We start from the raw sequence: 26,067 nt of genomic DNA on the forward strand, positions 1-26,067 counted from the left end.
GTATATGTGTTTAGAAAACATATTCATTCATTTGTTCCACAACTATTCATTGAGTGCTCACACACTAGACATTGATTTACGGTCATGGAATAAGTACATCAGACAACAAGTCAAGTCAAGTCTTTGCCTCATGGAGCTAACATTCTAAGAGGAGAAACATGCAGTAAACAAGTAAAGAAATGTATGCTCTATTCAGGGAGTAGTTTGTGCTATGAGGAAAAGCAAAACAGGTTGAAGAGATAGCTATGTGGTGGGAGTGGGACTATTTCGTACAGGGCACTGATTGTAGACCTCTGATGAGATAACATTTGACAAGAGATCTGCAGGGAGCTATGTGTCATGGGGGAAGGCATTGGAGGGTTTTGTGCAGGACAGTGATGTGTGATCAGATTTAGTTTAAAAGAATAATTTGGGCTGGGCATGGTGGTTCCTGCCTGTAATCCCAGCACTTTGGGAGGGTGAGGTGGGCGAATCACTTGAATCTGGGAGTTTGATACCAGTTCGGGCAACATGGCGAAATCCCGTCTCTACAAAAAATACAAAAATTAGCCAGTGTGGTGGCACGCGCCTGCAGTCCCAGCTACTTGGGAGGCTGAGGTGGGAGAATTGCTTGGATCTGGGAGGTGGAGGTTGCAGTGAACTCAGATTGCGCCACTGCACTCCAGCCTGAGATTGTGCCACTGCACTCCAGCCACTGCACTCCAGGAAGACCCTCTCAGAAAAAAAAAAAAAAGAATTTGGCCGTTATGTGGAGGACTGGAATTGAGAAGGGCAAGAGCGAGGTAGAAGAGTGGTCTAGGGAGAACAGTTAGGGGCTATTGCAATTATCCAGCAAGAGATCTTGGACCAGGATGGCAGCAGTGGAGGTGGTAAAATGTGGTTGGATGAAGCGTACGCTTTGAAGGTATCAACAGGACCAGCTGATGGAAGGGAGTCAACAGGACTAGCTGATGGCTGTAAACTGGGGGGTCACTAGCTATCAGATGGCATTTACTTAAAGCCATGGAAGTAGGTGAGCTCCCTTATGGAGAGGGAATAGGAAGGAGGTAGACCATTCTATCAAAATGCTCTTTCTACAGGGCACTTCTCACTGAGATATTATTTATCTGGGATTTATATTATTTATTCAATTTGTTTTGTGTTTGGTTCTATTAGAAAAGCTCCATAGGGGCCGGGCACGTTGGCTTTTGCCTGTAATCCCAACACTTTGGAAGGCCGAGGCAGGCGGATTACCTGGGGTCAGGAGTTTGAGACCAGCCTGGCCAACATGGTGAAACTCTGTCTCTACTAAAAACACAAAAATTAGCCGGGCGTGGTGGTGCGCCTGTAATCCCAGATGCTGAGGAGGAGAATCGCTTGAACCCGGGAGGTGGAGGTTGCAGTGAGCCGAGATCGCGCCACTGCACTCCAGCCTGGGCAACAAGAGCGAAACTCCCTCTCAAAAACAAACAAACAAACAAACAAACAAACAAAAAACAAAAAAAAGAAAGAAAGAAAGAAAAGGGCCAGGTGTGGTGGCTCACACCTGTAATCCCAGCACTTTGGGAGGCTGAGGCAGGCGGATCACGAGGTCAGGAGATCGAGACCATCCTCACCAACACGGTGAAACCCCGTCTCTACTAAAAATACAAAAATTAGTCGGGTGTGGTGGCGGGCGCCTGTAGTCCCAGGTACTCCGCAGGCTGAGGCAGGAGAATCGCTTGAACCCGGGAGGCGGAGGTTGTAGTGAGCCGAGATTGAGCCACTGCACTCCAGCCTGGGTGACAAAGTGAGACTCCATCTCAAAAGAAAAAAGCTCCATAGGAGAAGGAACCTTGTCTCTTCACCACATAAACTGTGTTTGGATTCGCAATCGAGTTGGGAAAAAAAAATCAGTCTGGAAGAGCCACACCAAACCGCTAACAGCTACTGTCTCTGGGAATAGAACAAGGAGTTTGGTTGGCGCGATATACCGCCCCTGAACCTCTAGCCACAATAAGGCTTAATTAATGACCGGACGACTTGAAAGCGCCTTCCACTGTTTATCTCTTAAATCTGCAACGAAATGCAACAAAAACGCAAGAAATAAACAATAGAAGCCAGTCTTACTGCACACTGCAGAAGCCAATAAACCCCAAATGTAGCTCAAAACAAGGTGTCACGCAAACTTCTGATTTTTTTTTGTTTTACACTGAATCTCTGTCACTCTGACTAGAGGGCAGTGGCGCGATCTCGGATCACTACAACCTCCGTCTTCTAGAGTCAAGAGACTCTCCCGCCCCAGGAGTCTCTGCCACTCTGACTAGAGGGCAGTGGCGCGATCTCGGATCACTACAACCTCCGTCTTCTAGAGTCAAGAGACTCTCCCGCCCCAGCTTCTCCAATAGGTGGGATTGCAAACAGGCACCACCACGCCCGAATAAGTTTGTGAACATTTGGTACAAATAACAAATGACCAAGTTCCTTGGTTGTAGTTGCCTAACTTTTAATACTTAAAAATGTAGCCTCAGGAAATAAGAGGCCTCAAAAAATTGAATAAAAACTCACAACTTTCTCTCCACGGAAATCTTTAGTAAAAGGCGAAAGATTTATGCGCTTTGAAGAGAAACCCGAGTATATTCGTGACTTCCGCTTCGAACCTCGCAGGGAGAACTAACACTTAACACACTTATGGTTGTTGGATGCCTGCGTGGTACGCACTCCCTATATGTAGTTTATGCACACAGATGCGTGTAAGAGGCATCATGCTCTAAAACAGTGCAGAAATGCGCGCACAGAGGGAGTGCAAGCATCTTGAGGGTATCTTTTCGTGGTGCACCATGGGTATGCAAATCACAGGCGGCTCCGGGCTGTTCCGCGCCACCGGGGAAGCCATGGGTCACTGATCTCCTTTGCTCTCCTATGCTCCTCTCTGCTGGTCCTCCTGGGACCCGCACCCCGTGGGCGGCGCCGGGTGCGGAGTCCTTTGCGGAGCTGGTGTTCGTCCCAGGGGTTAAGGTCCTGTCCCGCCGTCCTTACCCGCAGTAAGCCTCCGGGCTTAGAGAGAGGGACGGGGAAACAGACGGGCACAGACACTCAGGGGCACTGGGACCTCACAGGAGGCACGACCCCACCCCTCCTGGAGGAGATGGCATCCGATCCAATTCACCTCGAAGGGTGATATGGGGTCACATCAAGGGGAGGTGAGAAAGTGTTCTAGGCAGAGGGAATGGCGTATGAGAAATTAGGGACCCGAAGACCAATTCAGCCTGTCCAGACAGTGGCGCTCCGTGTGTCTGATGAGGGGGTGCTGGGGTGGGAGGCAGAGGCTAGATCTCCTCGGGCCTGGAAAGATGAAGATGAGGAGGCTTAGTGAGGCTGGCTAACTTGCCCAGGGTTACTCCGCTGGTAAGTGGCACTGAGGGCTGACCCCCTTTGCACTATTCTGGCCTGGTGAGCTCTCTCTGCTCCACCTAGAAGGCCCTTCTTGGTGACCCAAACACTGCTGGACCCAAATGCAGCCTCCCTCCCTTGGGCCTGCTGGTTGCACCCCCTACTCTAGGTTCTCTGCCAACTACCCGCTTCTCTTGAGCTTTTTAGGCATTTTAGCGTGGATTCAATTGCAATAGGCGTTTTTTGTTGTTGTTGTTTTTGTTGTTGTATCTTTTGGTCAGAACATGATTTCCTGGCCTTTGTCCAGGTGGGGTGGGATGTGAGAACGCATTGTTCCTGGGGTGGGATCATTCCTGGTGAGTGGGTGGTTGGAGCCCAGGGTCTATGTGAACTAGACTATGGGTCCTAAGCTATGGCTGGGAAGGGGCAGTTGCAAACCTCCCCACGCCTCTAGGTGAGGCTCTGTGCTCTATTCCAGGGCTGTGGCCACTCTTCAAGGCCTCTGCTTAGTGGAGCTGTTCAACTTTCACAGAACAAACAACTTACGCTGTGTCCTCACTAACTGCTAGCACCTCAGTTTCTGAGCAGTTCCCGCAACTGATCCACTGGCTGACTGGCCAAAGACACCTCTCGGCTGTCAGGACAACCAACTTACAGAGGCCTTTGCCTTGGAGGTTGCTCTGGAACCTGGCTCCTTTCCCTGGGTCCACAAACCTCCTGAGAAGCTCCCCAGACCCTGTTGACCTCTCTCTGCTTCAACTGGCTGCTTTCCTGATCTGCCTCCACCTCGCCTTCCACCTGCTGCATGGCTTTGCCCCTCTGCCTTGCCGTTTCCCGTGCGGGTGAAGCAGGTAGGTGGAGGTGAGTCTGGAGAGACGGGCAGGCTGGAATATGGTGGCTCTGAAAGCCACACAGTGGGGTTCTTTTTTTTCTGCTCTCGGTCTCCAGATTGAACCCAGTAGGATTTCACACCAACAAAATTTGTTATCGTTTTGTATAGTAAGCACTTAATCCAGATGATGTTACCAAGTATATGACAAAAATCCAGAATCTGGGGTCTTTTCCACCCAGAACTAGAGAAGCTAATACCTCAGGTCCTGGCACCAGAGAAGCTCCTTCCAATAGCTAATGTTCACTTGCAAACTCCCCACTCTGTCCAAAAAAAAGCACTGAAGTCATCTGAGATTAGTTCACATAGAATATATTTCATTCTTTAAAAAATAAAACTTTCATCATAGCTAACATGTATGTATACTACAAAAATAGACATTTTCATATAAATAATGGATGTGGTAGGAGGTGGGCAGGGATATGGAGAGCCTGCCCAGGAGTCACCAGACGGAAGGGTGCTGGAGGGTCCCTCAGGCTTGGTCAGCTGGGCAGGCAGTGGTGTGGGGTGGGAAGGGGGACAGGGCTGCACTGCAGCCCCAAGTGCCAGCTTTCACTCTCAAGTGACACAGATACAGGCTCACACAGGCCTGGATGTGCAAATCGGTGGCTGTTCTGTATGGATATCAGGGAGGCCCATGACAGCTGGGTCGGGAGAGGGGATGCAGCAGCAGCAGGGCCCTCCAGGGGTCCATCCTGCGTCTAACACCAGACCCAGTGCTTCCCAGTGACCCCACACGCCCCACACATGGTCTCTGTGCTTCAGCTGCTCTTTCACCCAGTGGCTGGACCTGGTCCCCTGGAACTGAGGTTGCCAGAGCTAGTGGCAGCAGGGGACCAAGGGGGCTCATCAGGGGCTGGATGGATGTAGGCACCAGGCAGGGGGGGTGGGTGGATGGCCACGGTCATGGAGGTAGTCACTCTGGCAAAGCTCTGGGGCAGGGAGGAGGATGCCCCCCACCTAAGCCCGCCTCCCTGTGGAGCTGGTGGACTCAGGATCTCTGGGCTTTCCTTGTACATCTGTATCACCTGTGGGGAGACACCAGCCCCAGTAAGCCCACGGGCCCCTGGGGCTCCCGTCCCCTTTAGCATCTCGCTGGGGATTACCATGACTGTTGGGAAGCTGGGGCCCTTGTTGGTCTCCAGCAGGATATGAGAGCTGGCAGGCGACAGGATGTTGAGGCCTGGGGCAAACCCTGCACCTTGTTCTGGATCCTAAAAGTCTAAGGTGGGTCCCATGAAGAAGCCAGGAGGGCTGAGGGGCAGGAACATGGTGTCTGGGGAAAGGAGGAGGCTGCCACCTTCAGCTGGTGGCACCTGTTGGGGAGGTACCTGTCTGTGGGCCACAGGGCTCTGTCCCTTCCCTTGCCTCTCCCTACCCCGTCCCTTGGGCTGGGAGTAGAGGGATGGTGCCGAGGGTGTGGTCACCTCTGGCGGCGGGCCCAGGATGGACAGCAGCACAGGCAGCAGCACGAGTCCATGGAGGAGGCCCAGGAGCGTGAGCACTGTCAGCGCCGCAAAGAAGTACCTAGGGGTAGGGTGTGGGGGGAGTCAGCCCAGGCCTGTCCTGAGCCCTGCCTCCCTGCCCCGAGCCCTCCCTACCTTACAATGAAGTCAAAGTGGGAACCAGCAAGCATGAGCAGACCCAGCAATGTGGAGATGGCCCCATCGGTCACGGGGGCAAATGTGTGCTCAAGGGCATGGGCGGCCCGCAGGTTCCGGCTGCCCTGGGTGGTCAGGAAGCCCTAGGAAAACAGAGTGGTCCTGGAGCTGCTCCTCTGCCAGTCATGGCCAGCTCAGCCATGTCCCGAGCTGTATCTGTCTTCAGAGCTCAACGATACCTTGGCCCACCAAAGGCTGGGTGAACTAAGTTCATGGGAACTGTACAGGGAGCATGCGTGAGTCCTTTTAGGTAACACTGTATGGATGGGTTTGGTGAGCTTAGACACAGAGACACGTAGAAAATAGGGTACAGCCTGGGTGACAGAGTGAGACCCTGTCTCTTAAAACAAACAAGCCCGGGCACGGTGGCTCATGCCTGTAATCCCAGCACTTTGGGAGGCTGAGGTGGGTGGATCACCTGAGGTTGGGAGTTCCAGACCAGCCTGGGAAACATGGCAAAACCCTGTCTCTATAACAAATACAAAAATTAGCTGGGTGTGGTTGTGTGTGCCTGTAGTCTCAGCTACTTGGGAGGCTGAGGTGGGAGGATCGCTTGGCCCAGGAGGTGGAGGTTGCAGTGAACCGAGATTGCACTGCTACACTCCAGCCTGGGCGACAGAGTGAGACCCTGTTTCAAACAAACAAACAAACAAACAAACAAACATAGGTTGGGCAAACTACAGCCTGTCACTTGTTTTGTAAATGAAATTTTGTTGAAACAGCCATACCCATTGGTTAATGTATTGTCTAGACAATTTTGTGCTTTGATGGCAGAGTTGCAGCAGAGACTCTATGGCCTACCAAGCCTGAAATAGTTATTATTTGGTCCTATAAATAGAAGAAGTTGGCCAACCACTAGTCCATCTAGAAGAGGGACATCAAAGTGATAACAGTTACTTCTCAGAGTAGCGTTTCAGAGGATTTCTAATTCTTCTTTTGTACCTTTCTGCATGCTGGCTTTGTTTGTTTTCAAGGATCATATATTGTTTTTATAATCAGAATAATAATAGAGATATTTGGTGGGGGGAAAGGAAGGGAGCTGTTTGTGGAGTCTGGCTGGTCTGTGGGTCCCCCCTTTCCTCTGCCAGAGAATATGCAGCCCTGGGCGAGGCCCTCCTTGGTTCTGGCATCTCTGTATCTCTGGTATCTTTGTAGAACCCCTCCATTAAGCCCACATTGCCATCCCGCTACCATCCCATTTTTTTTTTTTTTTGAGACAGGATCTTACTGTGTTGCCCAGGCTGCAGTGCAGTGGTGTAATCATGGCTCACTGCAGCCTCAAACTCTGAGGTTCAAGTGATCCTCCCGCCTCAACCTCCTGAGTGGCTGAGACTACAGGCACGCACCACCATGCCCAGCTAATTATTTAAAAAAAATTTTTTTTCTTTGAGACGGAGTCTTGCTCTGTTGCCCAGGTTGGAGTGCAGTGGCGCAATCTTGGCTTACTGCAGCCTCTGCCTCCCAGGTTCAAGCAATTCTCCTGCCTCAGCATCCTGAGTAGCTGGGATTACAGGCACCTGCCACTACGCCTGGCTAATTTTTGTATTTTTATTAGAGACGGGGTTTCACCATGTTGCCCAGGCTGGTCTTGAACTCCTGGCTCAAGCAATCCACCAGCTTTAGCCTCCCAAAGTGCTGGGATTACAGGTGTGAGTCACCATGCCTGGCCCATCCCACAATGGTTCACAGTAAAACCATTCAAAAGAATCATTGATTCCCATTTTCTCATCTTCCATTCTGTCTTTAACACATTCCAGACAGGATCTTGTCTACTCCTCTCTACTGAAATGGCTGCTTATTTATTTGTCTACTTATTTACTGTCTATCTCTCTCTTCTTTTTTTTCTTTTTTTGAGATGGAGTTTTGCTCGGTCTCCCAGGCTGGAGTGCAGTGGCATGGTCTCGGCTCATGGCAACCTCCACCCTCCCGGGTTCAAGTGATTCTCCTGCCTCAGCCTTCCAAGTAGCTGGGATTACAGGCATGCACCCCCACACCCAGCTAATTTTCATATTTTTAGTAGAGATGGGGTTTCACCATGTCGGCCAGGCTGGTCTTGAACTCCTGACCTCAAGTGATGTGCCCACCTCGGCTTCCCAAAGTGCTGGGATTACAGGCGTAAGCCACCTCACCCAGCCCTTATTGTCTATCTCTATCCCTAGAATATAAGTTCCTTGGAGGTAAAAAACTGTATTGCTATTATATCCCGTATTCTTTTTTATTTTTATTTTCCAAATTCTTTTTTGAGATTGAATCTTGCTCTTTTGCCCAGGCTGGAGTACAGTGATGTGATCTCAGCTCACTGTAACCTCCGCCTCCTGGGTTCAAGTAATTCTCCTGCCTCAGCCTCCTGAGTAGCTGGGATTACAGGCATGAGCCACCACGCCCAGCTAATTTTTGTATTTTCAGTAGAGACGGGGTTTTGCAATGTTGGCCAGGCTGGTCTTGAACTCCTGACTTCAGGGGATCCGCCTGCCTTGGCCTCCCAAAATGCCCCAGCATCATCCCAATTACAGGCATGAGCCACTGTGCCCAGCCCAAATTCTTTTTTTTTTTTTTTTTTGAGACGGAGAGTTTCACTCTTGTTGCCCAGGCTGGAGTGCAATGGCACGATCTCAGCTCACTGCAACCTTCGCCTCCCAGGTTCAAGCAATTCTGCCTCAGCCTCCAAAGTAGCTGGGATTACTGGCATGTGCCACCACGCCTGGCTAATTTTTTGTATTTTTAGTAAAGACAGGGTTTCACCATGTTGGCCAGGCTGGTTTCGAACTCCTGACCTCAGGTGATCCACCTGCCTCGGCCTCCCAAAGTGCTGGGATTACAGGAATGAGCTACCACGTCCACCCAGCCCAAATTCTTAAATAGTACCTAGCACATAGTAGGGGCTTGAACAATATGTGTTGAATACTGAATCAGCTGATTGGTCCCTCCCCGGGGTGCCCGTGCTCACCAGAGCCACGTGGACTGTGAACTCAACGCCAATGCCTACAGAGGCCACAAGGATCACCACGGGGATGGCACTCAGCTTGATGCCCAGGAAACCCATGATACCAAAGAGTTCCACTGTCATCATCGCCAGGACCAGCACCTGAGGGAGACAGGGCTCACAGAGGGCTCCTGGCAGGAGGGATGACAGGCTGGGCAGGGAAGGGTGGGGTGTCTCTGTCCCCACTCCTGCAAGCACTCACTATGAGGCCAGCCGTCCAGGGGTTGAGGAGCAGCAGAGCACAGACGAGGAAAGTGCACACCAGCAGGATGCAGACGGCCAGCAGGAAGCAGCGCCGCAGGCCCAGATACTGTTCCCAGAAGAGGAAGGGGGAGCCGCTGGGGTAGGCGTGCACCCCAGCCTGGCCGGCCTCTGCGCATGCTGCCCGGGCCCCCTCGATGGCCTCCACAAAGTCTGCAGTCTTCTGGAGGCCACGCAGCAGGAAGGGGAACTGGGCAAACTCCAAGGGCTGAGCTGGCGGGACTGTGGAGGGGAGGGGAAGGGAGAAGAGGGAGAGGGACAGGGCGGTGAGCACGGGGCAGAGTGGGCAGGGCCTCAGGCTCAGGGCTTGTGTGGGCGAGGCTGAGGCTCTTGCCGAGCTCCCCCCAAGACTCACTGCGAAGGTTCTCCCCCGTGGTGTCGTATTTGTCGTGCAGCCATTCAGGAGGTGGGGGGTAGAAGTTGGCCTGTGAGGCTGCCAGACCCAGGGGGTCACTGCTCACCCACACGGTCAGCCCCATGTAGAAGAGCTCGGGTGGAATCAGTCCCTCTCTGTCCACCAGCTTCCTTGTGGTCAGCTGCAGAGGCAGAGAGGGCTGAAGGCCTGGGCCCAGGAGGCCTGCAGCCCCTGTACTAGTGGACCCCTCCAGCCCTCTCCCAACCTGGCTGAAATCCAGAGGCTCCTGGGCGTCTCCAGTCTGGATGAGCAGCTTGTAGGCCAGGGCCCCATCCTCAGAGCCATTGCGGTACGAGTGGCGGGTGATGCGCCCAGAAGCCCAGTCCTGGTCAAAGGCAGCCTGGATTCCTGGGGGAGACCAGGATAGGGTTCTATTAGCTGGTGGCCCCAGGGCGTTTCTCCCTGCAGCACCCCTCCCTGCCCGTCTCCTCGCCTCTCACCCTGTAGCCAGTTGCGGTAATAGTGCAGCCAGGTGCGGGGTGCCTGGGTGGCCGGTGGGGGCAGCACCGCCTTGAGGGAACTGAAGCGCTGGTGCAGATCAAAGAGGGCGCGTTGGGAGTGGGCGTAGTCAAAGCCACCCTGGGTCACCAGGGCCACCTCGTACAGGGAGAAGTACCTGAGCTGGGCGCTCAGGAAGGCATGCTCCTTGGTGCCCCGAGGCACCACATCCGTCAGGGCCAGGCCGTCTTGCACCAAGGTGGCTCCGTAGAGGCTCAGGCCCAGAAGAGCACCAAAGAGCACCAGCACGATGGCCTGCGGGATGTAGCAACTAAGCTGGAGACCCCAGGGCTGCCCCCAGCCCCTCAGGCAGTGGACTAAGCCCTCTCTGCCCTTCTGGGCCCAGAGATGCTAAGTCTCTGCCCTGCTCTGCCCAGTCTTACCTTAGCATGTGACTGGAGCAGCAACGGGGCAAACTGATAGCGGGCGAAATGGGCAAGATTCCAGCGGGCACAGGGCAGGGACTTGCAGGCTGCCTTCTGCCTTGTCTCCTCCTCCTGGCCTAGAAGGTCCCGTGTGGACCCTCCAGGGCTGAAGAGCTCAGAGCCCAGTGGGTCAGAAGGTGGGGGCACCAGGTGGGCTTGGGGAGGCAGGATGGTGACCACATGCTGGCTGCTGGCTTCACAGTGGGTAAAGGCTTGAACTGTGGCAGTGAGGTGGGCAATGCCCACTGGTACTGTCCCGTCCCCCAGCTCCTGGGGCAGGATCTGAATCACCTGAGCAGAGCAGGGACTGGAAGAGGTAGAGAGTGGATGACAGGTCTGTGCCTTGAAATGCTGGTGAGGGGACAGGCTGGCGTGGGTCACGGGAGGAAGGGGCTGGGGCGCAGGCAGTACCTGGAGAAGCAGCAGAGCACATCAAGGCGCTGGCAGTGGCGCCGCCGTAGGTCCAGGCTGAGGATGGCTGGGAAGACAAGCATCACGGCTACAAAGGTGCAGCCAACCACTATGGCCGCCTGGGGGACGGACAGGAGGGGAATGAAGGCTGGATGAAGCTTGGCCTCAGCCCCACACCCACCCTGAGCTGCCCCGTGTGAGAGGCCTCACCTGTAGGGAGAAGGCTCGCAGCGCAGGGATGGGAACGAGGGCAGCCATGAGGAAGGCGGCCATGTTGTTGATGGATGTGAGTACGACACTGGTGCCCGTGCGCTGCAGACACTCGCCCATGCGCTCCTGCCAGGACAGAGTGGGGACCTGCCCTCAGGTCACAAGGGAGGGGCCGTGTCAAAGTGGAGTGAAGGGGAGGCTCAGGAACTTGGGGTGCAGAGGTGGGGCAGTCATAACACAGTGGCTAGCATTTATTGGGTACCATGTACGTATGATGGGCTGTTCTAAGCATTCAACTTGAGTTACCTCACTGATCCAAACAATAACCCTTAGGACACAGCACTATTATTTCCCCTGTTTACAGATGGGGACAAGAGGCACCGAGGTTCATTAGCAGCCCAAGGTCACTTGAACCAAGAGGCTCTTAACCAGTAAGCTGAGCTGCCTCAGATGAGCCCTGGGGGACAAGGCCCCACCTGGAGAGGGGTGCCAGGCAGAGCCTCTGTGAAGGCATGCGCCAGCAGGAATACGTCATCCACGCCGATTCCCAGAGCCAAGAAGGGCAGCACCTGGAGGGGCAGAGGAGCGGGCAGCTGAGGACCCGTGAAGCCTGGTGACTGGCACTGAGTCTGCCCTGCAGTCCTGGCGTACCTGGGTAGTGGCAGCATTGAAGGTGATGCCGAGCAGGGCACAGAGCCCAAGGCCTGAGGCCACCGCCAGGGCCACCAGCAGTACCCCGGCAAGGCCCACGGAACCCTGGGACTGGGCGCAGTCCCACCGCAGCATGGTCACACAGGCATAGGCCAGCTGTGGGGGGAAAGGGCAGTCTCAGGGGCTCCCAGGGTGGGCACTGGTTGGAGGTGGGGTGGGGGCAAGGTGCCAGGTGCAAGACCCACCATGAGCAGATAGCCTCCCACCACACGGGCAGCACTGACTTCAGAGAACGCATGCAGGATGTCATCCAGGGTGGTGGAGGAGAAGGCATGGATCTGCTGGGAAGCGTTCTCAGGCAGGGCCTCCTGGGCCAGCTGGAGAAACAGGGTGGATAGGAGGGGGCAGGAGGAGGGAATGGCCTCAGGGCACCCCCCTTGTCCTTGTCCATACCGACCTGCACAAAGCGCCGCTGCCAGGCTTGTAGCACTGTGCTGGCCTGCTCCTCACTCCAGCCAATGTCATGTGTCTGATAGTCACCCCGGAAATGCTCGTACAGCTGGCGGGGACTCATCAGCAAGAAGGTGCTCTGCAGGGCCTCTGCCCTGGTGGGGGTGTGGGAGAACCAGGGGTCAGAGCTGGCCCAAACACCTGGTGAGGGATGTGAAGGGCCTTTTGCCAGAGCTGCCTGGCATTACAGTATGGGTTCTCATGAACAGAGTCCCCTCACCAACTCCCAGAGGAGACCCTACCTCAGCAGCTCTCCTTGGGGGTCTCTGGCCATGCCTCCCAGCAGCAATTCCTCCTGCCAGTGCATGAATTTGTGGGAGAAGCCATGGCAGCCCCCACTCAGCTCGTGAGCCACATTGGGAGCCTGGAGGGGAACAGGAGGGGTTAATGCTCAAGGCCCTGGCCGTGGATAACTGAGTGTCCCTGGGCTTCCACCTCCAGGAACCACGCTGCCATGAAGCTCAGTAGGGCTGGAGTGTAGGTAACTATTCTGAGCCTCTTGACTGCTCTGCAGGAGTGAACAGCTAGTATCCCGCAGACAGGAAGCCCCAAGGGGAAGCAGAGGCCTGGAAGGGCTTCTGGGAGGAGCTGGTGTAACTGGCGGATTCTGAAAAAAGTACCACATTTGCAGGGCCACAAAGAAACCTGGGAAACCAGGTATGATATTCATGCTTACCTGCTGTGTTCTTAGTTTCCCTGTATTAGTCTATTTTGATAAAAAGTCCAGCCTTGGCCAGGCGCAGTGGCTCACGCCTGTAATCCCAGCACTTTGGGAGGCTAATAAAAATTAGCCGGGCATGGTGGTGGGCACCTGTAATCCCAGCTACTCAGGAGGCTAAGGCAGGAGAATTGCTTGAGCCGAGGTTGCAGTGAGCCAAGATCGAACTACTGCACTCCAGCCTGGGTGACAGAGTGAGACTCAAAAAAAAAAAAAAAAAGAAGTCCAGCCTTATCTAGGCTTAGAAAAGGAAAAAGGGATTCATATATACCACTTGAGGGCTCCGTAGGATAACTGAATGGGAATGGAACATTGGGGGCCTGGCACTGTGGGAGCAGGGTAATAATGGCCAGGAAGTGGGGGGTCAGGGCACAGAGCAGTCAGCTCCCCCAGAACACAGGAGTATGAGGAAGGGAAAGGGAAGGAAAACAGCCTTTCCCTGGCAGACCTGGTTGGAACCCACCTGCCTGCTGTGATGGTTGGGGGCACTAGGTGGGCAGTGGAGGTCATCAGGGTGCAGACAGGGCCGCCCCACGTAGGCCTGGCCCACCTGTGCCTTGTCTAGCAGCTCCCGGAAGCCCTCAAGGGAGGCAAAGGGACCCAGCTCCTCCAGCAGCTGCTCTGGATCCAGGTTGGTCCACTGGATATCCGGGCGGCCGCTGAGGGAAAAGCCTATAGTTGGTGAGGGTCAGGGACGAAAACCCAGGCTCCAAACTGCTGCTGGGGCGCCATGCTGTACCCCACCCTCCTCTTATCTGCCGATTTGTCCTTCCATATGGAGGGTGTGCAAGCCTCAGCTTCTCAGAACTGCCAGGCTGCATGGGCCCACCAGGGTGCTACAGTGAGCTGTAGAAGAGTACAAGGGGCTGAGACGAATATCAGGGCAGGGTTACCTAATACATAGAAAGGGCCCAGAAAGGCCCCACTGAGTTCCTTACCAAGCTGTGTGCTTGGTTCTAATATACAACCAGCAGGCACATGCCTGTAGCAGGTTTTCTTTCTGGCCTGGGCAATGGCTTAGCAAACACCTAGGTAATTTCCCCCAGCAAAGCCTCTTTGTGGGGATCTTTTTCTCCTTTGCTCAGATCTTACAGATCTTTGTGTTTAGTTTTGTGTAAATAAGTCAGGTCTTCCTTCCTTGAGAGGGAAAGAGAAGGAGGATGTGGAGAGAGCCTTGGGGAAGCCCATGCTCTCTGTTCCTGGCCTGGGAGGTAATTAGGACCTTGGTAAGGTTTTGATCATCCTCATTCCCCAGACCCCTCCTTTCTGCTGGGAGAGTCCCCAGCGGGAGATGAAGCAGGGCCCCAGGAGTGGCACTCACGGCAGGTAGGCGGAGCCCCCTTGGAGTTTGGCTCCCTCCCAGAAGCAGTCGAGGGGGGTGAGGATCACGCACGGAAACAGCTTCTCAATCATCTGCCAGGGATACCCCGGGCCACGTCAGTCCTGCCCCACAACCTTTGTAGGATGCCCTCTGCAATCCCCCTCCTTAGTTTTAAGGGGGCAGATTGCAGGCTGTGGGGCTTGCTCGGTCTCTGAGTCCTCCCACGCTACAGAAAAAGTTCTGCCTCTACTCCCTCTCAGGACACTTACCCGCTCAATCATTCCATTTTCAATAAGGGGAACTCCTGACTTGTAGCAGATTTTGTTCAAATCCCAGGACCTGCAATAGCCAGGGGCATAGGAGATCAGCAGAAGAAGGGGATTCCCACTCCAGAACCCCCACAGCACGCCTCGCCCCCAGCTGCTCAGGGGCTCAGCCAGACTCACTTCCCATAGAGTGATACTTGGACTTTACTGGCAGTGAGGGCTGCCTGGAGGTGGAGGCCAAGTGCTTCGGGTGTGAGGATGTTCTCTCCCTCCTGGCGTGCGGTCTGTATCAGCATCTGAGAGGTGTATGCAGCCTCCTCCCCCAGCTTCTCCTTGGTGTAATGCAGCTCCTGGCTCACCCGGCTGCCCACTGCCAGAGCAAACAGAGAAAGCTGGGGGGGAAAGGGCCTAGGCGGGTCAGAACTTGGGAAGGGGGCTTCTAACTCTGAGGCCTCCCCAGACAAGTGGGAGAGGTGCGGCAGAGAGGAGTCCCTGCCTTATCCCTGAGGGCCTGGTCATGGCCCAGGCCGACTCCCCAGGCTTCTGGGTCCTGGAGCTCTGCCAGGGAAGTGGAGAAGCCTCGGTTGTGTGGCTCTGCGGATTTCTTGTGTGGTCTAGGGCTTAAGCATGAACCAGGTTGGCTGGGTTTTGGGTGTAAACTTAAAAATGACAATCAGCATGAGCTGGCCGTGGGCTGTGGGGGTTGTAGGGGCATCTTGGTAAGGGAACCCTCGCTCAGTCCCTCTCTGTTCTGGTGGGGAGGACAAGGAGGGCCAATAGGGGCCAATAGGGAGGCTGCTGCTAGGAGGGTTTCCTAAAAGAACAGGTGTAGGGCTAGGGCTGGTTCTTAGTTCAGGTTGCTCTGGGCAGTGATTTATATCCACACACCTTTCTGCAAAGTGTCCTAAGGAGAGGGCAGGGATAGGAGTGTCTGATAATAATGGGTGATAATAATGGGCCCTGTGTTGGTGTGGGGGAGAGGGAGGATGGGACAGTCATTCAGTGTGCTGCTCCCACTCAGGCAGAAAGTGCATGGAATCAGCTCACGAACCCTGGCAGGGGTGAAATCAAAGTGGGCCAAGGGGAGGGAGGTGTCCAGATCCTTTTCACCGCCCTCACTGTCCAGACCACAGGGATTCCCGGCGCCAGGCCTGCCATAGTGTCCTGGATCTTAGCGCCCCTCCAGTCCTGCGTTATGCTGGCCACAGGCTCCTGCTCTGTAACTGGGACCTGGGGGAGGTGGGGACATTGTGAGGGGCTATCACCTAACTATGATGTGGGGAAGAGTGAGGGCCAAATCTACCTCTGGAGGCTTTGCGGATTTGGTCTGATCTCAGACCCTGCGCTGTTTCCACCTGTCTGGGGGTCTCCTCCTGTTAGTCTTTGCTGCCTGCTGGGACCCAAACGTACTGCTTCTCTGAGACTCAAGCCCCATCTGAGATCGTCATGTTTCCCAATCTCTTTTCCTTTTTTTTTTTTTTTTGAGACAGAGTCTTGCTCTATTGCCCAGGCTGGAGTGCAGTGGCCTGATCATAGCTCACTATAGCTTCGACTTCCTGGGCTCAGGTGATCCTCCCACCTCAGCCTCCCAAGTGGCTGGGACCACAGGCACCCGCCACCAGGCCTGGCTAATTTTTAAATTTTTTGTAGAGACGAGGTCTCATCACTATGTTGCCCAAGCTGGTCTTTTTTGTGGCTCACTGCAACGTCTGTCTCCCAGGTTCAAGCGATTCTCGTGCCTCAGCCTTCCGAGTAGCTGGGATTACAAGCACCTGCCACCATGGCCAGCTAATTTTTTGCATTTTTAGTACAGGTGGGGTTTCACGGCCTCCCAAAGTGCTGGGATTACAGGAGTGAGCCACCGCACCCGGCCCCAAGTTGGTCTTAAATTCCTGGGCTCAAGCGATCCTCCCACCCCAGCCTCCTAAAGTGCTGGGATTACAGGTGTGAGTCACTGCACCTGGCCCTCCAATCTCTTTTTCAAACCCATGTAATCTTCTCACTCACAAAAGCCCCAAATCCTTGGTAGCCCCCAACACATACTTACCCATATGCTCACATGTCCCCTCGTGCCCCAAAAGTCACATTCCTGGCCTTCACCTCATGAAAACAGTCTTCCTGTCCTGCTCCCCACACTGCCAGTTCCTTCCCTTTTTTTTTTTTTTGAGACTGAGTTTCGCTCTTATTGCCCAGGCTGGAGTGCAATGGTGCAATCTCGGCTCACTGCAACCTCTGCCTCCCGGGTTCAAGCGATTCTCCTGCCTCAGCCTCCCGAGTAGTTGGGATTACAGGTGCCTGCCACTACGCCTGGCTAATTTTTATATTATTAGTAGTAGAGATGGGGTTTCACCCTGTTCGCCAGGCTGATCTTGAACTGCTGACCTCAGGTGATCTGCCAGCCTCGGCCTCACAAAGTGCTGGGATTACAGGTGTGAGCCACCGTGCCCAGCCTCTCCTTCTCCGACTCTCCCCTACTCCCCACTCTTTTGCCAGGCCTGTACTGCAGTGTTTATTTCACCAAGATTAGGCCGAAGGCTGCCGCATGGAAGGGAAGAAGAGGACAGAGATAAGCTCTCCATAGTAAGTGGGTTTGCTGAGAGGAAGGAGGCATGGGAGGAGGAAGGAACCCAGAGAGATCTGATAAGAAAGCAAGAGAAAGAAACACGGATAATTTAAAATGGAGCATCAAAGAGAATAAAGACTCCTCAGGGGAGAAAATGGGGCAGAGAAAAAGATAAACCTTAGTTGACAAAGATAGATATGGACAGGTGAACTGGGATGCATTGTGGTGCAGAAAGGAAGAGTCGATAATGCTTAGTCTGTGCCTTGGGCTCATTAGTTATTCTCTCTGGGTCTCCAGCTCCTCATCTGTCAAACAGAAACAGTGACTACCTTGGTAGAATTAGAATAAATGCAGGCAAAGTACTTAGGAAATTGCATGGCACACAGTAGGTACAGATGTGGAGTTATTTTTCAATAGTTGCTGGTAGAGAAATGAAGTGACAGAAAAATGAGAAGGAACTGAAGGAAAGACTGCAGGTGACAGGGGAGGAAATAGGACAGAGGAGGGAGAATATCAAGATTGATACATGAAAAAACAACTTGTCTCTTTTTTTTGAGACAGGGTCTCGCTTTGTCACCCAGGCTGGAGTGCAGTGGTGCAATCACAGCTCACCGCAGCCTTGACCTCCCGGCTCAAGCAATCCTCTCAAGTAGCTGGAACTACAGGTGTGTGCCACCATGCCCAGTTAATGTTTGTATTTTTTGTAGAGACAGGGTCTCCCTATGTTGCCCAGGCTGGTCTCGAACTCCTGGGCTCAAGTGATCCTCCCACCTCAGCCTCTGAAAGTGCTGGGATTACAGGCATGAGTCACTGTGCTCGGCCAAACTTTTATGTCTTTACCAACGGGAAAATATAACTGGTTAACCAATATGGAAAAAGACTCTACCTTATAAATAATAATGTAAATGCAAATACAAACATCAATAAGTTACTATCTAACAATTTAGCAAAAATTTTAAAATTGATGGCACTCGTTGCTGGTTTACAAGAGTACACTCTAACCCACCATGAGAGTGTAATATGGTACACTCTTCGGGGGAAAGCAACATTGCAATATATATGCTCCATAATCTTTGGTCCAGAAGTTTCACGTGTAAAGGCCTATATACTATTGTAGGGACTTAAGCTTTCTCTAGGTGAAATGGGAGTCATGGTAGATTTTGGGCAGAGGGGATCTGACGTTTTCATCACCTAACAATGTATTTTTGTGAATACACTATTGTGAGTTGTGAATGATGAGGTGCCCACGAGAAGAAGTCAGGAAACGTGTCCTGGACCAGGTGTGCGCAGGGAACTGTCAAAGACTCCGTGTTTCGGTACTGCTAAGAGTGAGCCAGGGAGGAGCCAGCGGCAATGCTGGAGAAGCAATCAAGTCCAATTATGGAGGGCCTAGAGTGTGTGCTATGGAGTTTATATTTGATTTTACAGAATCTGGTGGAAATCGGTGGAAGGGCACTAAGAAGGGGACTGACTTGGCCAGATGGAGATTGGCCACAGGGTGGTGCTGTGGAGGCAGATTTGAAGGTGAGGCTGTCAGCACCTTCCTCCTTTCTAACAGACCCTGATTTCCGTGGCCGTCATCGGAAAGGCCCAGTGATTAGGGACAGCTGGGCTCCTCCCCAGCATCAGGAGGTGAAACTTGATTAGTTTAAGAAGCCAATCAGTAATTCCATTGCCTTTGCCAAGTGAAGGATTTCGGCATAGGATGCTACATAGTTCTTGCCAAAGAGAGCAAATGAGAAGTTGGCTGGGAGGCTACTAATACATTTTTCCTCACTTTTTAAAAGAGATGCAAGATCAGGCATGGTGGCTCATGCCTGTAACCCCAGCACTTCAGGAGGCCAAGGCAGGAGGATCGCTTGAGACCAGGAGTTCAAGACCAGCCTGGGGGCCGGCCAGGCGCGATGGCTCATACCTGCAATCCCAGCACTTTGGGAGGCCGAGGTGGGCGGATCACGAAGTCAAGAGGTTGAGACTAGCTTGGCCAACGTGGTGAAACCCTGTCTTTACTAAAAATACAAAAATTAGCCAGGCGTGGTGCGCACCTGTAATCCCAGCTACTGAGGAGGCTGAGGCAGAAGAATCGCTTGAACCCAGGAGGCGGAGGTTGCAGTGAGCTGAGGTCAATCCACTGCACTCCAGCCTGGGCTAGAGAGCAAGACTCTGTCTCGGGGGATGGAAAAGAAAAAGAAAAAAGGAAAAAAGATCAGCCTGGGCAACATAGTGGGACTGCGTCTCTACAAACAAACAAACAAACAAACAAAAAAATTAGCTGTGCATGGTGGCATGTGCCTGTAGTCCCAGATACTACAGAGAAAGAGGCAGGAGTACTGTGTGAGCCTAGGAGTTCCAGGCTGCAGTGAGCTGTGATTGTGTCACTGCACTCCAGCCTGGGTGAAAGAGTGAGACCCTGTCTCTATAAAACAAAACAAAAACAAAAAGAAATGCAAGACAAGAATGATTTCTTTTTCCTGACACTGCAGCAGCCACTTTGAGATAAGTCTGAGGACAAAAGTCCAGAATGTTGAAGATGGCAGAGGAGAAAGATAGAAAGAAACTGGGTCCTTGCTAATGTCCTTGGGCTGCCGAATTAACTGAATTAACCAGGCTTCCTGTTACAGAGAATAATAAATCAATCTTCTTTCTTCCTTCTTCCCTTCTTCCTTTCCTTTTCTTCTCTTTTCATGTGGCTAAAAGCATTCTATTATTTAATTTAATTTATTTATTTATATATTTTTTTGAGACAGAGTCTTGCTGTTACCCAGGCTGGAGTGCAATGGCACGATCTCAGCTCACTGCAACCTCCGCCTCCTGGGTTCAAGTGATCTCCTGCCTCAGCCTCCGGAGTAGCTGCGATTACAGGTACATGCCATCATGTGTGGCCAAATTTTGTATTTTTAGTAGAGACAAGGTTTTGCCATGTTGGCCAGGCTGGTCTCGAACTCCTGACCTCAGGTGATCCACCCCACCCTGGACTCCCAAAATGCTGGGATTACAGGTGTGAGCCACTGTGCCTGGCCTTATTTTATTTTTTAATTTTTTAGAAATAGAGATGGGTTTTTGCCATGTTGCCCAGGCTGGTCTTGAATTCCTGGGCTCAGTCAAGCCTCCCACCTTGGCCTCCCAAAATGCTAGGATTACAAGCATGAGCCACCACGCCTGGCCTAAAAGCATTCTAAATGATACAATCAGAAGTGTATTGCCAGAGATAGAACAAGGCCTCAACTAGAGCAGTGACCACAAGGTAGAAAGGATGGGTTTGTGCCGGGCCCGGTGGCTCAAGCCTGTAATCCCAGCACTTTGGGAGGCCGAGGCGGGCGGATCACGAGGTCAGGAGATCGACACCATCCTGGCTAACATGGTGGAACCCTGTCTCTACTAAAAAAAATACAAAAAAATTAGCTGGGCATGGTGGCGGGTGCCTGTAGTCCCAGCTACTCAGAAGGCTGAGGCAGGAGAATGGCGTGAACCCGGGAGATGGAGCTTGCAGTGAGCTAAGATCGCACCTCTGCACTCCAGTGTGGGCAACACATCAAGACTCCGTCTCAAAAAAAAAAAAAAAGAAAGGATGGGTTTGTTATGAGAGAGGTTAAGAAGCAAGGATTTAATAGTTTAGTAAACAATTGGGTGAACAAGAACTGAGGCTGACTCCTAAGGTTTTAGCTTTAGGTATTTAAGTGGATGGTGATTCTACCAACTGATATAAGGCCATCCTCTGTCTTCTACATGGAATGGCAGCTCTTGTTGCGCAGGCTGGAGTACAAAGACGCGATCTCGGCTCACTGCAAACTCTGCCTCCCGGGTTCAAGCGATTCTCCTGCCACAGCCTCCCCAGTAGCTGGGATTACAGGCATGCACCACCACGCCTGGCTAATTTTGTATTTGGAGTAGAGACAGTGTTTCACCATGTTGGTCAGGCTGGTCTCAAACTCTTGACCTCAAGTGATCCACCCGCTTCGGCCTCCCAAAGTGCTAGGATTACAGGCGTGAGCCACCGTGCCAGGCCTTTGTAATTTTCATTTTAGAGAACAATCTGCCTCTGAACGCTTGACTTTACAGTTGGCCAGGAAAGACAAACAAGTCAAATTCCAAGTCTCACTGAGGCAAAGTTAAGGAGGACCCTGAACTCTGGTCTGGAACACTGTGATAGCCAATGTTCGGTTTCTTCCTCGGCTTAATCTTTCTTTTTCTTTTCTTTTTTTTTTTTTTTGAGTCTCGCTCTGTCGCCAGGCTAGAGTGCAGTGGCACGATCTTGGCCCACTGCAACCTCTGCCTCCTGGGCTCAAGCGATTCTCCTGCCTCAGCCTCTGGAGTAGCTGGGACTACAGGCGCGAACCACCGCACTTGGCTAATTTTTGTATTTTTAGTAGAGATGGAGTTTCACCAAGTTAGCCAGGCTAGCCAGGCTGGTGTTGAACTCCTGACCTCAGGAGATCCACCTACTTCGGCCTCCCGAAGTGCTGGGATTACAGGCGTGAGCCACTGCACCCTGCCTTCTTACACTTTTTCTTTGAGACTGGGTCTCACAGTGAGACTCCATCTCTATGAAAAAAAAGATTGGCCTAGCGTCTGGCTCAGGCCTGTAATCCCAGCACTTTGGGAGGCCAAGGCGGGCGGATCACAAGGTCAGGAGATCGAGGCCAGCATGGCCAACATGGTGACACCCTGTTTCTACTAAAAATACAAAAAAATTAGCCGGGCATGGTGGCGCATGCCTATAGTGTCAGCTACTCTGGAGAATCGCTTGAACCCGGGAGGCGGAGGTTGCAGTGAGCCGAGATTGCGTCACTGCACTACAGCCTGGGCAACAGAGCAAGACTTACTCTCAAAAAAAAAAAAAAAAAAAAAACAGAAAGAAAAAAAAAGATTTTTACCTCACCCCCAGCCAATATAGGACAAGAGTGATATTCTGAAATAAAGGAAAAAAGCCTAGGAATTGGCTACCATCCTCTTATAAAACCCTCCCCCAAACAACAGCAAAAAACTGCTGGGGTCTAGCCTATCCTATGCTGGAGTATAGGAGAGAGGATGAGGAAACATGGAGGCTCAAGCAGTGTTTAGATGGGGAGAATGTGGGGAATGGAGAGGGAGGAAGGGAAGGGAGACTGCCTCTGTTGGGGCAGGAAATCCAAGAGTCATCTGGGACCACCCAGGCAGCAGTGGTGTGGGTGGGGATATGTGTATGTGCGTGTATGCACATCTGTGTCCTGGGGCTGGGGGCAGGCAGGCAGAGCGAGACATCTGCTCTGGACCCCAGGGCTGGCCTAGAGTGTATATGGATGTGAGAGTCTGCAGGGCTGGGGGTAGGTAGGGTGGGGATGGCGTGTGGGAGCTCAACAGGCAGGCAAGCTCTGAGAAACATCTGCTGTGGATCCTAGGACTTGCCAGTATTTGAAATAACTCGAGGGTGTGAGACTCCAACCTGGGTTCTGCCTTTGGGTATGGGCCAGGGCTGAGGGAGTCTACAAAATGCAAATTTCCCAGGGAAAAACAGACTGGAGTTTGACTCCTATCAAAGGGCTGCCATATGAAACCAGCCCTCAGGAAAGAAGAGAGTCATGCTGAAATTTTTTTTTTTTTTTTTTTGAGATGGAATCTCCCTCTGCTGCCCAGGCTGGAGTGCAGTGCGGCGATCTTGGCTCACTGCAACCTCCGCCTCCCAGGTTCAAGCAATTCTCCTGTCTCCGCTTCCCAAGTAGCTGGGACTACAGGCGCCCGCCACCACGCCTGGCTAATTTTTGTATTTTTAGTAGAGATGGGGTTTTATTATGTTGGCCAGGTTGGTCTTGAACTCCTGACCTTTGATCCGCCCGCCCCGGCCTCCCAAAGTGCTGGGATTACAGGCGTGAGCCACCGTGCCTGGCCTGCTGAAATTATTAATGAGAAATCATTCTGGCCAGGCACGGTGGCTCACACCTGTAATCCCAGCACTTTGGGAGGCTGAGGTGAGCGGATTACTTGAAGCCAGGAGTTCGAGACCAGCCTGGCCAACATGGTGAAACCTGGTCTCTACTAATAATACAAAAATTAGCCAGGCATGGTGTCGCCCACCTGTAATCTCAGCTACTTTGGAGGCTGAGGCAGGAGAATCGTTTGAACCTGGGAGGCAGAGGTTGCAGTGAGACGATATCAAGCCACTAAACTCCAGCTTGGATGAGACAGAGTGAGACTCTGTCTCAAAAAAAAAACAAAAAACCAAAAACCCAAAAATTATCAGGGTGTGGTGGCTTATGCCTGTAGTCCCAGCTACTTAGGTGGCTGAGGCACAAGAATCACTTGACCCTGGGAGGTGGAGGTTGCACTGAGCTGAGATCACACCACTGCACTCCAGCCTGGGTGACAGAGTGAGATTCTGTCTCCAAAACAAAACAAAACAAAAATTAGCTGGGTGTGGTGGCGCACGCCTGTAATCCCAGCTACTTGGGAGGCTGAGGTGGGAGGACCTGAGCCCTGGAGGTCTAGGCTGTCTCTACTAAAAATACAAAAATTAGCCGGGTGTGTTGGTGGGCACCTGTGATCCCAGCTACTTGGAGGCTGAGGCACGAGAATCACTTGAACCCGGGAAGTGAGGTTGTAGTGATCCAGGATCGCACCACTGCACTCCAGCCTGGGTGACAGAGAAAGACTCTGTCTCAAACAAACAAACAAACAAAAAAACAACCCCCCCCAAAAAAAAACCCCAAGAAAATCATTCTTCTTTTATGCTTCCTTAAGAAAGTGAGGATTTGATTCCATCTGACCCTGGCTATTGCCTCAAAGTGTGGATTCTGTATTGCTTTTCCATTAAATGGGCCTGGGTGCCTGAGTCCTCTCCCTGCAGGCTTGGCCAGATTATTTACTCAGTTTCCCCAGCCTTCTAGTTCTAACTTTTCTGATTCTGCTGGTCAGAAGTGATTTCTCCCTACCCTATCTTATACCACATAATCACAGGATGCTCTGTATTGTATTTTAGTTATTCCAGCACATATTTTACTTTCTTTGCTACTGAAAGATGAATCTTGTTTTAGCTGCCTTTGTAAAACCCTGATGCATTGTCAAAGACACACATAGAAAGTTAGCAATAAATGCTAACGTACAAAATCACAGACAAATATTCTATACACCCAATTCACAAGGTCTAACATCTGCAGATGTCCATTTATGGTTGTGGGAGGGAACGGTGTTCCTAGATGCCCAGGTGTAGGACTCTGGCCAGCAGGTGACCCTCCAGCCCCAGGGCCAGGCCTGCTAGAGCTCAGTAGCCAGCTCCTCACCCCGTTCTTGTCTTGGGCTCACCATACCTGAGCAGCTATGGCCAGTGTCCACAACTTACCTTCTACCCAGAGCTGTTCCAAGTTTGTCTCAATAATGGCCATGCGGAGACCTAATGCCAGGGCCCCAAAGGCCAACAGTCCCAGAAAGAGCACTTTGCCACAATGTCTCTGGATCCCGCATCCCAGAGAGAAGAGCAGGCCCTGGAAGTAAGCACGAAGCCAGAGTGGAGCCTTCAGGCTCCCAGCTAGGATCTGGGATGGAAAGAGAAGGGTCAGCCAGGCATCACTGCAACAATGCATGAAATCCTTCCCTTCTCACCCTGTATATCTGCTGCCCAGCCCTCGCTTCTTGATTTCTGGATGTGGGACAGGGAGCACCAACACAGACACAGGCCCAGACTTGGAAGATGTAACACCCACCATCCCCAGCACACACCTGAGGAAGGCATAGGCCTATTTTCCTTTCTTTTCTTTTTGTTTTCTCTCCTTTTTTTTTTTTTTTTTTTTTTTGAGACGCAGTCTCGCTCTGTTGCCCTGGCTGGAGTGCAGTGGTGTGATCTCGGCTGACTGCAACCTCCGCCTCCCAGGTTCAAGAGATTCTCCTGCCTCAGCCTCCCGAGTAGTTGGGACTACAGGCGCCCGCCACCACGCCCTGCTAATTTTTTATTTTTAGTAGAGACAGAGTTTCCCCATGTTGGCCTGGCTGGTCTCGAACTCCTGACCTCAGGTAATCTGCCTGCCTCAGCCTCCCAGTGTTGGGATTACAGGCGTGAGTCACCGCGCCCGGCCGGCATAGGCCCATTTTCTGAGAGCAGGATACATATGTACACACACCTGTCGTCGGGTGGACACAGAGGTGAACCCACAGACATTCATTCTCACTGGCCAGACGATGAGGAGACACCGGCACAGACACACCGACACACACGCACAACTTGCTTGCGGTGCTGGCTCTCACTTGCCTTCAGACATCTAATGACACTCGGCACTTCAAGACATCACAAACCTTGCAGAGGCCCGAGTGACAGACCTGGCTCCGCTCTCTTCCTTCTTCCAGCTCCCCCTCTACTCACCTGGGGTGCTGCGGTTCGAGCTGGGGGTGTGTAACTCGGGGGCAGCTCTCTGAGGGGCGGCGATCGAGTCATGCTGGCGGGGATGGGGGGCGCGGGCGCCCCCAACCCGCGTTATCTGGGCGCTCCCATAGGCTAGCCCGGTCTCCCGGTACCGCTGGGCCCCGCGTAGGGATTCAGTGGGGCCGCCAAGGCGCGGGCGTGGGAGAGACTGTGGGGTGTGGGTGTTAAAGCGGCTGGGAGGGAGGAGTGCAGGGAGCTGCGGGTCCGGGGCGCGGCGCCGGGATTCACCCGCTCCGTGGGCCGTGGGCCGCGGCGGCTGGAGGAGGAATGGGTCCCGCGCGCAGGCGGAATTGCTGGCCCGAGACGCACAGCAGGGCTCGAGGTGGCAACTGCAGTCCCCGGGAGGCGGCTGGAGCTCCAGAAAAGGGAGCTGGCCGGGGCGACGCCCTCCCATTGGCTGAGGGGCCCGCAAATTACCCTAGCCGCGCGGCCCGGCCCGCTGCTAGGTAACGGCGCCGCAGGGGGCGGGGCGGGAGACCACCCAGGCTGGGCCACCCCGCGCCTCCCTCCCGCCCGCGGGGCCCCAGGGAGGAGGAGGGAGGGGGATC

At 52.9% G+C, this 26,067-nt stretch overlaps 1 protein-coding gene, 1 long non-coding RNA gene and 1 pseudogene across 3 annotated transcripts, besides 10 other annotated features; 1 reads left to right on the forward strand and 2 right to left on the reverse strand.

Annotated features, from left to right (window-relative positions):
- Nucleotides 1,698-2,354: an enhancer, noted in NCBI's record as "NANOG-H3K27ac-H3K4me1 hESC enhancer chr1:45284771-45285427 (GRCh37/hg19 assembly coordinates)". NCBI's record gives its function as "activates a minimal SCP1, AML or CMV promoter by ChIP-STARR-seq in primed H9 embryonic stem cells {active_cell/tissue: H9 hESC(primed)}" and the evidence as "EXISTENCE:reporter gene assay evidence [ECO:0000049][PMID:30033119]".
- Nucleotides 1,698-3,011: a biological region, named in NCBI's record as "NANOG-H3K27ac-H3K4me1 hESC enhancers GRCh37_chr1:45284771-45285427 and GRCh37_chr1:45285428-45286084".
- Nucleotides 2,169-2,268: an enhancer, noted in NCBI's record as "active region_954". NCBI's record gives its function as "activates an Ori minimal core promoter by ATAC-STARR-seq in GM12878 lymphoblastoid cells {active_cell/tissue: GM12878}" and the evidence as "EXISTENCE:reporter gene assay evidence [ECO:0000049][PMID:35858748]".
- Nucleotides 2,259-2,978: a silencer, noted in NCBI's record as "fragment chr1:45285332-45286051 (GRCh37/hg19 assembly coordinates)". NCBI's record gives its function as "represses an EF-1alpha promoter that drives an FKBP-Casp9 reporter gene in an ReSE screen in HepG2 liver carcinoma cells {active_cell/tissue: HepG2}" and the evidence as "EXISTENCE:reporter gene assay evidence [ECO:0000049][PMID:32094911]".
- Nucleotides 2,299-2,348: an enhancer, noted in NCBI's record as "active region_955". NCBI's record gives its function as "activates an Ori minimal core promoter by ATAC-STARR-seq in GM12878 lymphoblastoid cells {active_cell/tissue: GM12878}" and the evidence as "EXISTENCE:reporter gene assay evidence [ECO:0000049][PMID:35858748]".
- Nucleotides 2,355-3,011: an enhancer, noted in NCBI's record as "NANOG-H3K27ac-H3K4me1 hESC enhancer chr1:45285428-45286084 (GRCh37/hg19 assembly coordinates)". NCBI's record gives its function as "activates a minimal SCP1, AML or CMV promoter by ChIP-STARR-seq in primed H9 embryonic stem cells {active_cell/tissue: H9 hESC(primed)}" and the evidence as "EXISTENCE:reporter gene assay evidence [ECO:0000049][PMID:30033119]".
- Nucleotides 2,444-25,852, reverse strand: PTCH2 (patched 2). Of its 2 annotated transcripts, NM_001166292.2 has the most exons (23): nucleotides 25,460-25,852; nucleotides 24,446-24,638; nucleotides 14,751-14,940; nucleotides 14,574-14,643; nucleotides 14,305-14,396; nucleotides 13,447-13,642; nucleotides 12,508-12,629; nucleotides 12,213-12,360; nucleotides 12,001-12,132; nucleotides 11,756-11,911; nucleotides 11,581-11,673; nucleotides 11,105-11,230; nucleotides 10,895-11,013; nucleotides 10,442-10,790; nucleotides 10,001-10,313; nucleotides 9,766-9,908; nucleotides 9,501-9,681; nucleotides 9,087-9,367; nucleotides 8,849-8,986; nucleotides 5,842-5,984; nucleotides 5,668-5,767; nucleotides 5,201-5,268; nucleotides 2,444-3,303 (listed from the first exon to the last, which is right to left on the reverse strand). In NM_001166292.2, the coding sequence occupies exons 1-23, from the start codon at nucleotides 25,529-25,531 to the stop codon at nucleotides 3,288-3,290; spliced, it is 3,441 nt and encodes a 1,146-aa protein (NP_001159764.1). In that variant the 5' UTR covers nucleotides 25,532-25,852; the 3' UTR covers nucleotides 2,444-3,287. The 2 variants fall into 2 exon arrangements, with proteins under 2 accessions (NP_001159764.1, NP_003729.3); NM_003738.5 differs by lacking the exon at nucleotides 2,444-3,303 and having other exon boundaries at nucleotides 4,537-5,268.
- RNU5E-6P (RNA, U5E small nuclear 6, pseudogene) lies at nucleotides 2,482-2,596 on the reverse strand (annotated as a pseudogene).
- Nucleotides 3,078-4,593, forward strand: LOC107984952 (uncharacterized). Its single transcript, XR_001738036.3, has 2 exons — nucleotides 3,078-3,161; nucleotides 3,830-4,593. It is a non-coding gene; the product is annotated as an uncharacterized LOC107984952 (long non-coding RNA).
- Nucleotides 3,668-4,325: an enhancer, noted in NCBI's record as "H3K27ac hESC enhancer chr1:45286741-45287398 (GRCh37/hg19 assembly coordinates)". NCBI's record gives its function as "activates a minimal SCP1, AML or CMV promoter by ChIP-STARR-seq in primed H9 embryonic stem cells {active_cell/tissue: H9 hESC(primed)}" and the evidence as "EXISTENCE:reporter gene assay evidence [ECO:0000049][PMID:30033119]".
- Nucleotides 4,326-4,981: an enhancer, noted in NCBI's record as "H3K27ac-H3K4me1 hESC enhancer chr1:45287399-45288054 (GRCh37/hg19 assembly coordinates)". NCBI's record gives its function as "activates a minimal SCP1, AML or CMV promoter by ChIP-STARR-seq in primed H9 embryonic stem cells {active_cell/tissue: H9 hESC(primed)}" and the evidence as "EXISTENCE:reporter gene assay evidence [ECO:0000049][PMID:30033119]".
- Nucleotides 18,513-19,013: an enhancer, noted in NCBI's record as "H3K4me1 hESC enhancer chr1:45301586-45302086 (GRCh37/hg19 assembly coordinates)". NCBI's record gives its function as "activates a minimal SCP1, AML or CMV promoter by ChIP-STARR-seq in naive H9 embryonic stem cells {active_cell/tissue: H9 hESC(naive)}" and the evidence as "EXISTENCE:reporter gene assay evidence [ECO:0000049][PMID:30033119]".
- Nucleotides 25,798-26,067: a silencer, noted in NCBI's record as "silent region_822". NCBI's record gives its function as "represses an Ori minimal core promoter by ATAC-STARR-seq in GM12878 lymphoblastoid cells {active_cell/tissue: GM12878}" and the evidence as "EXISTENCE:reporter gene assay evidence [ECO:0000049][PMID:35858748]".

This window comes from Homo sapiens, chromosome 1, assembly GCF_000001405.40.
Source record: "Homo sapiens chromosome 1, GRCh38.p14 Primary Assembly".
Classification (NCBI taxonomy): Eukaryota; Metazoa; Chordata; class Mammalia; order Primates; family Hominidae; genus Homo; species Homo sapiens.

Coding starts and splice junctions, on each gene's coding strand:
- PTCH2 (NM_003738.5), bottom strand. CDS start 25,531: ATGACTCGATCGCCGCCCCTCAGAGAGCTGCCCCCGAGTTACACACCC. Junction 11,231..11,580: donor TGCCTGGCACCCCTCTCCAG/GTGGGGCCTTGT, acceptor CTGTCCTGGCAG/GAGCGCATGGGCGAGTGTCT. Junction 11,014..11,104: donor TGCGAGCCTTCTCCCTACAG/GTGAGGCCTCTC, acceptor TCCGTCCCCCAG/GCGGCCATAGTGGTTGGCTG.